The sequence below is a fragment of the Homo sapiens genome, chromosome 22 (assembly GCF_000001405.40).
Source record: "Homo sapiens chromosome 22, GRCh38.p14 Primary Assembly".
In the NCBI taxonomy this organism is placed as follows: Eukaryota; Metazoa; Chordata; class Mammalia; order Primates; family Hominidae; genus Homo; species Homo sapiens.
The window spans coordinates 18023210-18038837 of NC_000022.11; the positions used below are offsets into that span (position 1 = coordinate 18023210).

Genomic DNA, 15628 nt, shown 5'->3' on the forward strand with positions numbered 1-15628 from the left:
CTCCAAATTTTCCCACCACCACTCCTCCCCACAAAAAGAAAATTTAAAAAATCCCAGTGTTTGGGCCATATCCCAGACCAATTAAGTCAGAATCTCCAGGGATTGGACCCAGGTAGCAGGATTTCTAAAAATCTCCCCAGCAGCCAGGCCTGAGAGCTAATGAATAGCACCACAGGGCCCAGCCTTTCAGCCTACAGCTTGTCTCGGTTTCACCCTTTTTTCATTTCTTTACAATGAAAATTCTAAATAGTTGATCACAGTGCCAGACCAATAAGAAAGCATTTTAGGGAGGAGAGAGGAGGGAAGGGGTTGGCAGGCACGGAGAGGACTTGACACACAGAAAGCATTTTGCTATGGAGTCATAACCATTTGATTCTAAGACACATGCAGCCTCCAGAAGTCATGCGGCCCCGCCCTCTGCTTCCAGGAGGGAATGAACTTGGCCGTCCTTTTGTTGCACACGCCCGGGAGCTGCGCCGGCGCAGCGCGCCCTGCAGCCTGGGAGCGCAAGCGTGTGCGCCACTGGTCCTGGGCCACCACCGCGCGCCGCGGGCGGGTGCAGGGCCCCTCTGCCGCAGGGAAACCGGCGTTCCCCGCGCAAAGCAGCCGCTGCTCCTAATGAGCTCATGGGTTCACCGCGCTGAGCTAGCCAGAGCGGACCCGGCTTCGCCAAGGGCCTGCTGGCTGTCCTGACACCTGGCCTACCTCGGGGGTGCCTGGGTACGCTCTTCCTTTGCCTGCGGGATAGAAGCACAATGAAAATGGGGTGGACGTGGCTGGGAGACAGCCCTGCTCTCTGGCAGGCTCTGGGGAGTGTGTGGTACGTGGCATCCGCACTGGTGGGTGTCGTGCGATGATCGAGACACGGATACTGGGTGTCTTTCCCACTAGGGGAGAGAGGGCTGCGTTTAGAGGGAAACGAAATAGATCCGAGAAACACAAAGATGTCACAAAGGAAACGCTTCCCCACCATAAGCAATCTAAATAAATGATTCTTAGAAGACATCCAGCAAAACACATAACCTTGTCATTTAGATTCGCTCGCCCACAGGGGGACTGGAGGGTACTCACCGACTAGGGCTTCACAGCCGCATCACCGCCGGCGGTGGGCGCCTGCCTCGGCAGGGGCAGGGTGGGTGCCCGCAGGGCACAGGTGCCGCCGTGGCTGCTCGCACAACCCCTGCAGCTGCGATCCCGCCCAGTTAGCCTCGGGGGCTGCACAGCCCAGCCCCCTCGCCCAGGGCCCAGGGGTTCTCAGGCCGCGCGGCGAGGACGGAGGGCTGCCCCGGGTGCCTGCCTACGCGGGCGCTCCCCGCCGGGACTCCGCCGGGGCTGCAGGAGCGCGCGCTGCTGGCTGGGCGGGCTGCGGCTCCGCGCGAGCGCCGTGGCAACGCGAGCGGGCGCCCCCAGGAGGCCGCGGAGCTGCGGCGTGGGACGCTTGGGTGAGGCTCAAGCCAAAACCAAACCCAAACCATTTCTCCTCCTCCCCATCTTTTCATTTTCTCCCCTTCTTTTCATTTTCTCCCCTTCTCCAACCCCTTCCTCGACACACGTTACTAGCACCTCGAAGGTTGGAAATTCCAGCACTCTCCTGAGGCCTCTTCCCCAGCGAATCCTGCTAACCACGCAGTCGGTGTTCGCTGTGTGTTCGAGCACACACCTCCTTGCAGTGGCTTCAGCACCCAGGTCTCCGGGAGCCAGTGAAGGAACCAAGTGTTGGATACTGAGCAAGTCGCGTAACATCTGAGTAGTCGTGAAATTGAAATTTCAACGGTATAAAGGACACGACGTTGTCTTACAGATTGAAAAATGCTATAAAATGAAGTTCTTACTGTTACTATGATGATGACCCTGGAGATCAGCGCAGAGCCCTGGGGGAGGGCTACAGTTGCAAGCGCTCCAAGGATCAGATCGCGCACTCCTCCCCACCGGAGAAAACCTCTTGATGCCGGAGCCCGGGCAGCCTCTTCCACACTTCCAGCCAGCCCCTTCCACACTTCCAGCCAGCCCCGGCATTGCCACAGCCCGTGGAGCTGGACAGAAATCCACCAGGCACTAAAATAAGTTAGATGGAAGACGGGATGGATTTGACCAAATTCCTATCAGCATCTGCTCAGTATAATTGCAACATTATAATCAGAGCAGAAAGAAGCCCAGAGATTATTTTGTCTTCAAGGATCATTGGCCTCAGTATTATCTCCATCTGAAGCTGTGTTGTCCAAAGCAGATTGACTCCAGCCGGCCAGCTCAGAAGAGGGCCGACTCTGGGCTGGCGACTCCTTGAGAAGGGCTCTCTCTGGTCCCAGGTGGTATTTACTTAACCGTATCATCATCTGCTTCATTCGTGTTCCCTTCATGTCCATCATGTGAGGACGGGAACTGACAGGGCCAGGGTGTCGGCTCAGAGGCAATCTCTGCTCATCCTCTAGAGCCCCACTTCATCACCCAGCCACTCTGTCCACTGTCTCCCCACCTACAAACCTGCAGGTGTTCTGCCCCAGTACTAGAATAAGGGAACACATTTTTACTGAGCTCTGACAATGTGACTGGGCTTTTCAGGAGCTATTTCATTTAATTTTTAATGTAAAACATTGTTTTACATATTAAGAACCTAAAAGCACAAACAGTAAGTAACTTGCTTGTGGAAGCTTATGCAGCGAGATAAGTGGTAAAGCTGCAATTCCCAGTTTTGTTTGATGCCACAGCTGAAGGTGCAAGGCCATCTGGGCACGGCCTGAGTGGATATTAGGGAAAAATGCCCTAAAAGGTCCAGAATCTCTAATAATTTCTCCTACTTCTCATTTTATTTTATTTTTGACGCTGGAGTTTTTTTTTTTTTTTTGAGTCAGGATCTTGCTCTATTGCCCAGGCTGGAGGGCAGTGGTGCAATTTCAGCTCACTGCAACCTCTGCCTCCCAAGTTCAAGCGATTCTCCTGCCTCAGCCTCCTGCATAGCTGGGACTACAGGCATGCACCACCATACCCAGCTAATTTTTGTGGAGATGGGGTTTTGCCACATGGCCCAGGCTGGTCTCAAACTCCTGAGCTCAAGCGATCTGCCCTCATCAGCCTCCCAAAGTGCTGGGATAACAGGCATGAGCCACTGCACTAGGCGAAAACGTTTATTTTAGAAAAACTGAAAAATATAGAAACATAAAGGAAGAAAAGCATTCATAATCTCATCACCTAGAGAAAGCCATTAGTAATATTCATATTTCTTTCCAGTCTTTTTTCTAGCTTTCTAGCTTTAAACTAAGTTGAGATAAAACCACACACACACACACACAGACACACAAGTGCATCCTGCTTTTTGTTAAAAATAACTTTGTGGGAAATTCTTCCTCCTTTGAGGATTTTTAAAAAACATTAATTTAAATGTCATACAATATTTTTATCATATGAATATCTCATAATTTCCCTTTTATTGAATATTTCCAACTTTTATTGATTGTAAATAATGGCAATAAAATTTTTTCTTCATAAATCTTGCTCCTATGTGTGAATAATTTCCTTCCAGGTGAGTCCCAGAAGTGGAATATTGAGTCCAAGGGTATTAACATTTTAAAGACTTTCCAATCCTCTCCAATGGGGATATCCAACTCACCCAGCCCCGTTCCCCACAGGACCTGCACGGTCCCACTCCACTGCCCTCCACACATCTGTTGTGCCCTCACCTGGTATATAGCATTTAAATTATTTAGCTCACAAACTCTTTGGGAAACTAGGGTTAGTTCTTTGTAGCTTTTTGGTTGATTATTTTGATTTACTCAGAAAAACGCAGTATCTCCTTTACTATTTTAAAATCCTCAATAAGTAAGAATAGGGAGAGAAAATAAGAGAAAGGGGTGAGCTTTCCAAGGCCCTGGGTTAAGCCAGGGATGCCGGAGCTTGGAGCTCACTTGATACTGACCCTGCTGATGGCCTCAGCCTCAGTCCTGCTATAGAAAAGCTGCCCTGTCCCTCTGATCCTCACGTTTTAATCTCAGCATTTACTGCTGATGGGATGATTGGGTAAATTGAAAAACTTGTCAGAGAGGGTTAGGCTTTGATGGGTGGGGTAGGGGAGACCTCTCAGGAAAAGCAACTAGAGTAATAGAACTGTCAAAGGTTGGCAATAAGGCTGTGTGATCTCGCTGATGGTTCTCCAAGATGAAATGAAACCTAATGCTGCTTTCTTCTTCCTTGAGAGAAGATAGCAAAGAGGGCAGAAGGTGAGGGCTGGGGGCTCAATGTCAACTCTAGAATCTCTTTAAACCTTTTCAGCGTTTGTTTTTTTCCCCACTGAGAAAGTTAAGTGTGATGGGAGGGAATCTAGTCCTTTTGACTATTTTAAAATGTACCTTCTAAAATCAGATCAGGCCAAAAGGTTTTTTACTCTTGAATAAATTTAGGGCTAAAGGCTGTTGGAAAATTAATAGGAGTGGATTCAACGTGGCAATAGATCTTTTATAAATTCTCTTATTGAGTGAATTTCTGAATACTGAAAACAGTGTTTAGCACCTATTGCATTAAAGTGAGTATAAGACTAATACTTTGTATTAGTGACTTTGGCTGGGTGCGGTGGCTCATGCCTGTAATCCTAGCACTTTGGGAGGCCGAGGCGGGTGGATCACGAGGTCAAGAGATCAAGACCATCCTGGCCAACATGGTGAAACCCCATCTCTACTAAAAATACAAAAATTAGCCAGGTGCGGTGGCGTGTGCCTGTAGTTCCAGCTACCCGGGAGGCTGAGACAGGAGAATTGCTTGAACCTGGGAGGAGGAGGCTGCAGTGAGCTGAGATCACACCACTGCATCCCAGCCTAGGCGACACAGTGAGACTCTGTCTCAGAAAAAAAAAAAAGACTAATATTTCATCAAGCAGTTTTAGATAACGTACTGAATTTAGGAACAAATTTACTGCAATTAAATTGACAAAATACCTGTAAATTTTGCAGCTTTTCTCCCCCACAGACTAGCACTATGCAAAAATTGAATGTTTAATTATGAATGAAGGTATCTACCATGTTGTTCACAGAGTTTAATTACCTGAAGACAATGCCTGAGGTTTAAAGTTAAAATACATATATTTGAACATAGAACATTTACTTGACCACTTTATACCATGAGTGAAAGGGGTCAGTCTATGCTTTTTTCCCCTTCCCTGTCTTTTACCAGCTGGCCATTTTATTTGCATAAGGTACACTGAAATTCCTAGAGACCTACGAGGTCATTCTCTGCTCCCTTGCTTTCCTCAGATGAGGAAACAGAGCTCTACAGAGGTTAACTGTCTAGTTCAAGGTCACTCTGCATCTCATTAGTAATCTTGAAGTCTGAAGGCAGGCTGCCTACATTTGTAAATGACAGAAAGCTACCATAGCTAGCTAATCAAAAATAGATGAAAATTTAGTTATAATCTATAGTTGACAGGATAAACATTAAGAATGAGCTTGTAATCCCAGCTACTCCGGAGGCTGAGGCAGAAGGATCCCTTAAGATTAGCAGTTTGATCAGCCTGGGTGACATAGCGAGAACCTGTTATTTTATTTTACTTTTTTAAAGAGTCAGGGTCTCATTCTGTCATCCAGGCTGGAGTGGAGTGCAGTGGTGCAATCATAGCTCTGCAGCCTTGAACTCCTGGCTCAAGGGATCCTCTCACCTCAGCCTCCCGAGTAGCTAGGATTACAGGTGTGCACTAGGACTCCCAGCTCAAGACCCTGTCTCTAGGAAAAAAAAATAGAAATTAGCCAGGTGTGGTGGTGCACAAGAGTGGACCCCTTAAGCCTAGGAGTTTGAGGCTACATTGAGCTATGATTGCATCACTGCACTCCAGCCTGGGCAATGGAGTGGGAGCCTGTCTCTAAAAGAGAAAGAAAGGTCTTCCTAGAGTTTTTGATAGACTAAAACCACTAAGTTCAGATTTAGCATGAATAAATATAATGGCCTGCACTTTTGGTTGAAAATATATATTGCACAGTAGAGGCCTGACTTGTGCATGTGAAACAGAAGATAGGGAGTTAAGTCAACCAACAGGTTCAGTAAGAGCCCCACGTGGGAAGCAGCTGGTGAAACAGCTAATGAAACCTCAGAGCTATATTAGTAGACAGAGAGTAACCTGATGTTTCACGGAGTAACTGGCCCAGGAATCTTGGTGCTGGCCAGGTCATATTTATACCACTCTGTAGCACAAGGTTCCAGGAGGGACCTTGATAAACTAGAGTTCATCCACCAGAGGAGGAGGCTGCAGGCCTTGGGCACTGCTCAGCAGGATGAGGGGCCACTGCAGTTGAGCATGTCTAGCCTGGAGTCTTCTGAAGAACATGATTATTGACTTTATGTATAGGAATGGCTGCCAATGAAGAAGAGGTACGTGGCTTGTTCTATGTCACTCCGCAGGGCAGAAGGAGGATCATTAGGGATAAGGATGAATGGGAGATAGATTTCTGTTCAAAGAATTTTCCAAAATTGCGGACTCACCACAGAATGGTCTGGAAGTCTGCTTAGGGAAATGCTGGGATCCAAGCATCTGAGAGCTTATAGGATATCTACTTTGGGACAGGAGTTGACTCCATGACTTCCAAGTTCCCTTTAACTCAAAGATTCTGTGAGTCTTCATCATGGATCTTTCTTTCTTTATTCCTTCCTTCCTTTCTTTTTCTTTTCTTTCTTTCTTTTTTCTTTCTTCTTTCTTTTTCTTTCTTTCTTCTTTCTCTCTTCTTTCTTCTTTCTTTTTTCTTCTTTTTTTCTCATTTTTCTTCTGTCTCTTTTCTTTCTTTTTTCTTTCTCTCTTCTTTCTCTCTTTCTTTCTTTCACAAAGTCTCACTCTGTTGCCCAGACTGGAGTGCAGTGGTATAATCACAGCTCATTGCAGCCTAGAGCTCTCACCTCAGCTCCCTGGGTAGCTGGGACTACAGGCACATGACGCCACACCTGGCTAATGTGTGGTGTGTGTGTGTGTGTGTGTGTGTGTGTATTTTGTAGAGACAGAGTCTCACAATATTGCCCAGGCTGCTCTCGAACTCCTGGGCTCAAGCAAACCACCCACCTTGGCCTCCCAAAGTGCTGGGATTCCAGGTGTGAGCCACCATGCCCAGTCAGGTTATTTTTCTTGTACTGCTAGTTCATGCCAGTAGAAAAGGTTTTAGTGCTTTTGACCTTCTGATTCCCAAAACGATTCAAATGATTTGTCATTAGAATATGTATCTTAAAAAAGAAACAAATAAAACTCGTAATAAAAAATTGAATCCAGGCCAGACACAGTGGCTCACACCTGTAATCCCAGCACTTTGTGAGGCCGAGGCAGATAGATTGCTTGAGCCCAGGAGTTCAAGACCAATCTGGCAACATGGCAAAACCCCGTCTCTACCAAAAAATTAGCCAGTCTCATAACCAGATCTCAAAAGTAAATAAATAATTGAATCCAGAAGGACTCCTGAGAAAAAGTGAGTTGCTTCAGAATTTGGGCACTGAATTTAAATATAAGCTTTGCTCAAAGTCTGGGCAAAGAGAGAAATGTGTGAAGTTATAGATTCTTACTGTTCAAGAAGAAGAAGATTATACTTTCATCTGTATCAGTATTGACCTTGTCTTCCCAAAGGGATTATAAGATCCTTAACAGCAGGGAACAAATCTTTTACTTCATTTTAACTCCTATCATCATTAGACTATTTTATGCAGATAGGTGCTCAGTGTGTCTTGAATAATTTGACTTTCTTAAAGATGAAATAGGAAAATATTTTTGCTTTATTTTTTTCCTGGAGTCTGATAGAAAGATTAATGGGAGATGGATTTCTTCCAGCCTGCTGAAGCCGGAAGTCACAGTTCTGAAACTACATTATATTATTCCAATGAGGTAGCCTAAACTTGGCCTATAGAAAGCCCCAGGCTGCCATAATTGCATCTACTGGTACCTCTTCCTCTTTGCAGAACAGGTTTCTGTCTTAAATGCATTTGTGTTGCATTTTTTTTTTTTTTGAGATGGAGTTTGGCTCTTGCAGCCAGGCTGGAGTGCAATGGCGCCATCTTGGCTCACTGCAACCTCTGCCTCCCAGGTTCCATTGATTCTTCTGCCTCAGCCTCCCAAGTAGCTGGAACTAGAGGTGGGTGCCACCACGCCCAGCTAATTTTTGTATTTTTAGTAGAGACGGGGTTTCACCATGTTGGCCAGGCTGGTCTCAAACTCCCGACCTCAGGTGATCCACCCACCTCGGCCTCCCAAAGTGCTGGAATTATAGGCATGAGCCACGGCACCCAGCTGTGTTGCATATTATTGCCACTCTAGCACCCTGACTTTCCACTGCAGCTCTTCATTGTACTCAGTAGTAGCAATAACCAACATTAGTATTTTACTTAGAACATTAAGCACTGTTCTAGGTGATTTATATATATTTACTCATTTCATCCTACCAACTCCAGAGTTTATGGTCCTCACCCACTACCCCCTCTGTCTCTCAGTAAGCTGTCTACCTTCAATGTGTAGTTAATCAAGTCACCAACGGACCAAAATCTGAAGTGAATTCCATCTTCCTAGTAGCAAGACACCAGGTGGTAATGGGTTTCCTCTGCCTCTCCTCTTTCCATCACCCGCTCTGTTCCCTGGATACCAGCTAAAAACTACCCTGCTGTATTTCCTGCCCCCAGCGTGGCTTCCTGGGCTTGGCCACCCTCCAGCTCTGCTACCAGGTCTGCTTGGCTCAGGGGTTTGGAATGAAAGACACAAGACTGAGCTCCTCCGAGTGACTCACATCTATCTGGAGTGGTAATAGCCTGTTTTTGTGCCACTTAGCAATTCATCCTCCCCAAACCCATCCCTTCTTCATTTTCCTAAAAATGCCAGATGGTATATGTTTATTTTTAAATCGGTGTGAAGTTTGATACATTTAGCATTGAGAATGTATCAACAACACTTCCTGTCCCTTTACCCCACCCCAGGGATACTTAGAACTACCACCACGATATTGCAAAACCAGGGGGCCTGAGTTGCTGCTGGAGGGCATGGTGTTGCAGAAATCACTGCTGTCCTGCGAGCTGCAGGTAGATGCCCAATAGGAGTTTTCTGATGATGACATCTCACCTTGGGTGGAGATAGGGCTAAGACCAAACCCTGCCTATGGCTTTGTCCAGGCCGTAGAACGGGGACAGGTCTGTGCTTGGCATCCCTTGCTGCTGTTTCTGTTAGACACAGCTAAGCCCAAGGGTAGGAAGAAGCAGAGGATGTGCCCACGGGAACCTCGTCCTCTTTTCTGTGGTTTCCACACAGCCAGGAGTCAGTCCCTTTCCTTCATTCTAACCAGCAGAGTCACTGGCACCAAAGACATTGTCTCAGTGGCATAAATCCCTATACCAGTGAGGGTTCTTTACTGTAGGAGGCCCCTTGGGGCTGAAGAATTGGGAGAGGCTCCTTGGCTTGAAGCCGAGTAAGTAACTGAGTAAGTGAGTAAGAAAGTGAGTAAGTCATTACTCTCCTCCACCTGGACATAATGAGCCCGCATGCCTGGAAACAGCCAGCGCTCCTCCCTGGACTTAGCCCAATCTGCCGAGACAAAAGCCAGATGGAGGCCACACTTAGATCACACAGAGAGCATTCAGATCATTCACTTCTGATCTGGCCCTGGTACAGGATGGCAGGAAGAGTAAGGATAAGTGAACACCAGAGGTATTTCAAAAATGTCTTTAGACCTAGAAGAAGAAGGCCTGCATTTCATTTCCAGCAGTATCATTTATTAATTGCATGACGTTGAGCAAATTAATAGACTTCTCTAAAGCACATATTTCCTTATCTGTCAAATGGGAATAGTAATATCCGTTTTCCCCCATTTTATGGGGGCATGTGTGAGGATTACATGGCAATGCATATGACAACACTCTGTAAACTCTTGATCATACTATGAGAATGTAAAGGATTATTAGAAATTTCTATTTATTTTAGTAAAAAAAAAAGAATAGTTTCATCAGTTTGTTCCTCTACTCAATTTTTGACCAGAACAGTTTGTAAATAGTAAGACGGAGAGCTTTGATTTTTTTTTTCTCACCTTCCATCTCACGTTCTGTCCCAGGCAGGCAGGGGGCTGTGGTTGGGAGGTGCAGTGCAAATTTGCAGGTAATGTGTGTGAGGTATGGAAGAGGCAAGCACCTGCACGCTCATCACAATCAAGGAACAGAACCAGACAGAATTTAAGGCTGGCTGAAGGAGACCAATGTGGTCACCATAGTGGATGGCCCCAGGCAGAGCTGACCAGCAGGCAATCGAGTCAGCTTGAAGCAAAAGGTGATCTCAAGCAAAGCTGGAGGCCGAGACAGATCTAACAGATGCCAAGGATGCTAGGCTTTGACAGGGTCCCCCTAGAGACTGGGCTTCCTATCCTGGGCTGCTCAGAAATTTCTAGTGACCCCCAATCTAGCCTTGGACTGGCTGGAGGAACTGAAAGTTTCCAGGAGGGAGGATTCCTGCTTGTCCACCCCACAGCCTTCAGTATCACTGTCCACATGGAAAGCTATGTCCCGTGGCAGACTTGGGAATCGCTCCAGTCTCCACATCCCCCAAGGACTTTCTGATTCAGATTCCCAAGCAGACAATTTTGGCTTACAGAGGGAAAGACTACATTTGGGTATCAGAAACTTCATACTTGGTGAATGCTGTCTGCTTACTGAGTCTGGGACAAGAATTCCAGCAGTGAGCATGCTGCTGTTACCCAAGCCAACCTCTAGAGAGATGTTTCAGGGAAAAAAACAAAACAAAACAGGGAGCTCAAAAGAGAACAGTGCAGACAGTTCAAATCATTCCCAAACTGGCCAGTCAATCCTTGTAGTTCAGCATAATGGGTAGCTAAGGTCAGAGCTTAGGGTCTTGGGTCCTAGATTAATATTCACCCACTCCTAGAGGTAATTTTGTAGGCCAAGAAAAGCAAAAACCAAACCAAACCAGCAAAAATGGGCCCCTGAAATGATTTTCCAGAGTGGATTATCAAGAAGGCTTAGTGCTTGGAGTAAAGAACTCAATAAATAAAGACTTCCAGTCATCCTGAGATACCCAAATAAGAACACAAACTCTTAATTGGTTACTATTTGGTTTAAGGCAGGGGTTGCACATTGACCATGTGCTGTGTGCGGTTAGTAACGGTGTTTTGTTTGATCATCTCATTATGTCTGTGCCATGTTTGAAGGGCAATGTCACAGAAACTGGGGGTGACGGGTTAGAACACTCTGGACACTTAAAAGGCCTTAAAAGAAGGCTGGAGAGGGGCCTCTGGTCAGGCACACCAGAGTATCTGATGAGAACACCAAGTCTGTAATCTCATGCCCACAGAAAGCTAACCCTAAATGCCAGTACCAGATGGCCAACCTAAGAGAGGGTTCTGCGCAGGGAGAGCACACTCAGTTGGGTGGTCAGGGAAGGCTTCTTGTAGGTAGTGTTTGGAAGTGGCGGGAGGCGGGTGGAGGGGGGGTAGTGGGGGGCGTTGTTGGGGCGGGTGGTGGAACACCTGGTGGAGAGGCACATTCCAGGGTAGAAGACGACGGAGCAGGCAAAGCCCTGGGGGGGCAGGAAATCTCCAGCTATATTCAGGAAACCATGAGCAGGCTAATTTGGCTGAAGCAGAGAATTTGAGTTAGACAGAATGGAAGTGGGCAAAGAATGTGTGGAGTGAAGAAGAGCAGGAATCATGTCTCAAATCTACTGAGTCAAATATCTACTGATGGAAAGGAGAAGCTTGTGGGGTGAGAGTGAAGGGTGCCCCCGTGGCGGGGCTCCCCTGGTAGCCCTTTCTCCTGCAGACCTATCTGTGGGGTGCTCCCAGCCTGGCTCCCTCTTCGGGAGGCAGACACCTGCTCAGCCTTGCTAATCAGGCAGCAGTTAATGGGGTTCACTTCCTGCATCAGCAGGTGAGGGCCTTGGGGAAGGCTGAAGAATGGCAAGGTTACAGCTGGCGTCCTCAGGCAGTTGGAGGCCCGCAGCAGGAGAGCATGTTCACGGCCGGGCGCAGTGGCTCACACCTGTAATCCCAGCACTTTGGGAGGCCAAGGAGGGTGGATCACGAGGCCAGGAGATCGGGACCATCCTGGATAACACGGTGAAACCCCGTCTCTACTAAAAATACAAAAAAAAAATTAGCCGGGCATGGTGGCGGGCACCTGTAGTCCCAGCTACTCGGGAGGCTGAGGCAGGAGAATGGCATGAACCTGGGAGGCGGAGCTTGCAGTGAGCCGAGATCGCACCACTGCACTCCAGCCTGGGCGACAGAGTGAGACTCCATCTCAAAATAAATAAATAAATAAATAAATAAATAAGAGAGCGTGTTCACTGCACTCGGCTCGATCCTTGCCCAGAAACACAAGCAAGGGGCACCTGGGACCAGGCTCAGCTCAAAGCCCCTCCCTCTATATATCTGGGCACATGCACACAGCCTCCTCAGATGGATATTCCTGTGTGTGTATCAATCACAACATACACATCCATGGGTACATTTCCTGAGCAAGCAGATCTCTGCTATACATATACATATGTAAAAGCATATAGATGTACAGGCTTTCCTGTATATGTGTATACACATATGTTTGCTGGGTTGTTTTTCAGAATATTGAAAGTCAGAAGCATGCTATCACATAACTCTGCATTTCATCGGGCCGAGAAAGCACAGGTTTTCAGGACCACAGTTCCCATTTCTCCTGTTCTGCAGTCCTCGTCTGATTGGCCAACACTATGGGCACTCCCTGCTCTGGTGGCCACTGGCAGTGGGCCAGGGTGAGGGCAGCTCACAGCCCGTCTCCTCTCTGTTACCTTGGGACGTCACTCAGCAGTTGCATCACCGGCTGCTCTCTCCCTCTGAAACATGAAGCCCTTCCTTTCTTATTCCACCTTAGGGAAGCCTGGGCCTGCGACAGACCAGAAGACCTCACATTCCACAGAGAAGACCTCGGTTTCCCCCCAAGCTCTGTCCAGTATGGAGTGACAAATCGCTGTACTTATGAGACAAAGGCATGAAGTCCAGGTCAAGGCATGACTTTTCGGCAGCAACTTTTCTAGATGTGAGGTATCAGTAAACATTTATGGTGCTTCTGTTATGGATACAATACAAGGATGTAAAAGAAAATAAGTATGAGGCTCATCCTCCTGGGAACTCACATTTTCACTGGGGCTACAAGACCCCCGGAGCAAATGCCAGGCACAAGATCGGGGATAAAAGCCTAACTTTGAGAAGCTTGCTTTGGCTAAAACCGAAATCAATTATGAAGCAAAGGAAGTGGATTAGAGGGAGATCTTATGAAATCCCATCAGATTTGGATCATGCTACTGAGTTTTTTTCTTCCTGGCTGTATTTTAGGTTTTCTCTCCCACTGAAACTGATTAATCGTTGTCAAAATTCCTCCCTTGTACCCTTCTCTCTATGGGAGGGCTGTCCCTTGGCTGGCCTGGGATGCAGGAATAGCTTTTGTGCACCCTTTGGTGTCCACTTCTGTGTGTCTCTCTTGGTGGCACTGCTTCCCTATCTCTGCTTGCTCTGACCACCTTCAGGCTCCTAGGACCCTACCCTCTCAAATTTCCTCCTCCCCTGCGTCCCCCTTTCCCATTCAAAGCCCACAGCACATCTCAGTTAGTGCTATGGAAAAAACTAGCCTCAGAAACGAATATTCACTGACATGTCAAGGTCTAGTAGTTTGTAGAGCCATTTTATTGGAAGGGACTTCAGAAAGGAATTAGTTTACCTACTCATCAGGTGAGGAGACCCACAGAGGGGAAGTCACCTGCCTGACTCCCAGAGACAGAAACAGTGCTGGGACTAAAACCCAAGAAGGGTCCTGACTCCCAAGTCCCAGGAACTTAATTTTCCCCCAGGGAATGGCCCACCACCCACCCAGATGTAAAAACTAGAGACTCTGGGCAGCATTCTATCTCTATGCCAGCCTCCAGTCTCCTGTCTATTTTGCCTCCAAGATACATCTCTAATTTGCCCACTTTTCTTGAACTTCACATCACCGATCTGGTACAAGCCATCATCATCTCCTTGCTTGGGCCTACCAAGACACTAATCACTGTTCTTTTTGTTTTGTTTTGTTTGTTTTTGAGACAGAGTCTCATTCTTATCACCCAGGCTGGAGTACAGTGGCATGATCTCAGCTCACTGCAACCTCTGCCTCCCATGTTCAAGCGATTCTCCTGCCTCAGCCTCCCAAGAAGCTGGGATTATTGGCATGCGCCACCACACCAGGCTAACTTCATATTTTTAGTAGAGATGGGGTTTCACCCTGTTGGCCAGGCTGGTCTTGAACTCCTGACCTCAGGTGATCCACCTGCCTCGGCCTCCCGAAGTGCTGGCATTACAGGCATGAACCACCATGGCAGGCTGACTTTCATTCTTTCTCTAGTATTATTAGAATATTCCCAAATAATATTCCATTGTGTATATATTCCACATTTTGCTCATTGGTTTCTCATGGTCCGATCTGAGCTTTGGGTAGATCTGGCTATAGGCAGATAATCCCTGAGACATACTGCTAAATGGGAACAGCAGATGCAGAACAGTGTGTATGATACGCTACCACTTCTGCTGGAAAACGTCAAACAGGCACGTGTGCATACATATGTACGTGGACTTGGAAAGGCATAGACCGTCTTTGAGAATACTCAAGAAGTGGTTATCTTGGGTAGGAGAGCTGGTGGCGGGGGACAGAAATGGAAAGGAGACTTATTTTTCACTGGATATGCTTTTGTACATTTTATGGCTTATTAATAATGATTTTATAATTATATTACCATGATCAAATAAAACCCTTGGTGAATCTTCAATATTCAATAAAAGGCTTGGTTCTTTTAAGCACATATAAACTTTTTTTTTTTTTGAGACAGGGTCTTGCTCTGTCACCCAGGCTGGGGTGCAGTAGCACAATCTCTGGCTCACTGCAGCCTCTACTTCCCAGGCTCAAGTGATCCTCCCGCTTCAGCCTCCTGAGTAGCTGGGACCTAGTAGGCTGAGGTAGCAGGTGTGTGCCACCACAGGCTAATTTTTAAATTTTTTATAGAGATGAGGTCTTGCTATGTTGGCCAGGCTGGTCTCAAATTCCTAGGCTCAAGTGATCCTCCCACCTTGGCCTCCCAAAGTGCTGAGATTACAGGCGTGAGCCACTGTGCCTGGCCTAGCACATATCAACTTAGAAAGAGTTAAGAAAAGTGGGCTGGGTGAGGTGGCTCATGCCAGTAATCCCAGCACTTTGGGAGGCTGAGGCAGGTGGATCACGAGGTCAAGAGATTGAGACCATCCTGGCCAACATGGTGAAACCCTGTCTCTATTAAAAATACAAAAATTAGCTGGGTGTGGTGGTGCGTGCCTATAGTCCCAGCTATTCAGGAGGCTGAGGCAGGAGAATCGCTTGAAATGGGGAGGTGAAGATTGCAGTGAGCTGAGATTGCACCACTGCATTCCAGCCTGGTGACAGAGCAAGACTCCATCTAAAAAAAAAAAAAAAAAAAAATGACAGAGACTAAGGCCAAGCCACACATTTTCTGTGTGTGTGTGTGTGTGTGTGTGTGTGTGTGTGTGTGTGTGTGTTGTAGACAGGGTCTCACTCTGTTGCCCAGGCTGGAGTGCAGTGGTGCAATGTTGGCTCACTGCAGCCTCTACCTCCTGGGCTCAAGCGATCAATCCTCCCACCTCAG

The 15628-nt window shown here is 47.1% G+C and overlaps 1 protein-coding gene and 1 long non-coding RNA gene across 2 annotated transcripts in view, besides 3 other annotated features; one reads left to right on the top strand and one right to left on the bottom strand.

Moving 5' to 3' along the window:
- MICAL3 (microtubule associated monooxygenase, calponin and LIM domain containing 3) overlaps positions 1-1352 on the bottom strand; it is a 236913-nt gene extending 235561 nt beyond the window's left edge. Inside the window, exon 1 of the mRNA NM_015241.3 lies at positions 1072-1352. The gene's annotated coding sequence lies outside the window, so the exon portion shown is untranslated. The remainder of the gene's footprint in view (positions 1-1071) is intronic.
- Positions 1080-1489: a silencer, noted in NCBI's record as "silent region_13446". NCBI's record gives its function as "represses an Ori minimal core promoter by ATAC-STARR-seq in GM12878 lymphoblastoid cells {active_cell/tissue: GM12878}" and the evidence as "EXISTENCE:reporter gene assay evidence [ECO:0000049][PMID:35858748]".
- Positions 6156-6225: an enhancer, noted in NCBI's record as "active region_18645". NCBI's record gives its function as "activates an Ori minimal core promoter by ATAC-STARR-seq in GM12878 lymphoblastoid cells {active_cell/tissue: GM12878}" and the evidence as "EXISTENCE:reporter gene assay evidence [ECO:0000049][PMID:35858748]".
- LINC01634 (long intergenic non-protein coding RNA 1634) lies at positions 6176-14759 on the top strand. Its single transcript, NR_024417.1, has 2 exons — positions 6176-6345; positions 12551-14759. It is a non-coding gene; the product is annotated as a long intergenic non-protein coding RNA 1634 (long non-coding RNA).
- Positions 6266-6365: an enhancer, noted in NCBI's record as "active region_18646". NCBI's record gives its function as "activates an Ori minimal core promoter by ATAC-STARR-seq in GM12878 lymphoblastoid cells {active_cell/tissue: GM12878}" and the evidence as "EXISTENCE:reporter gene assay evidence [ECO:0000049][PMID:35858748]".
- Positions 14760-15628: the final 869 nt, after the last annotated feature.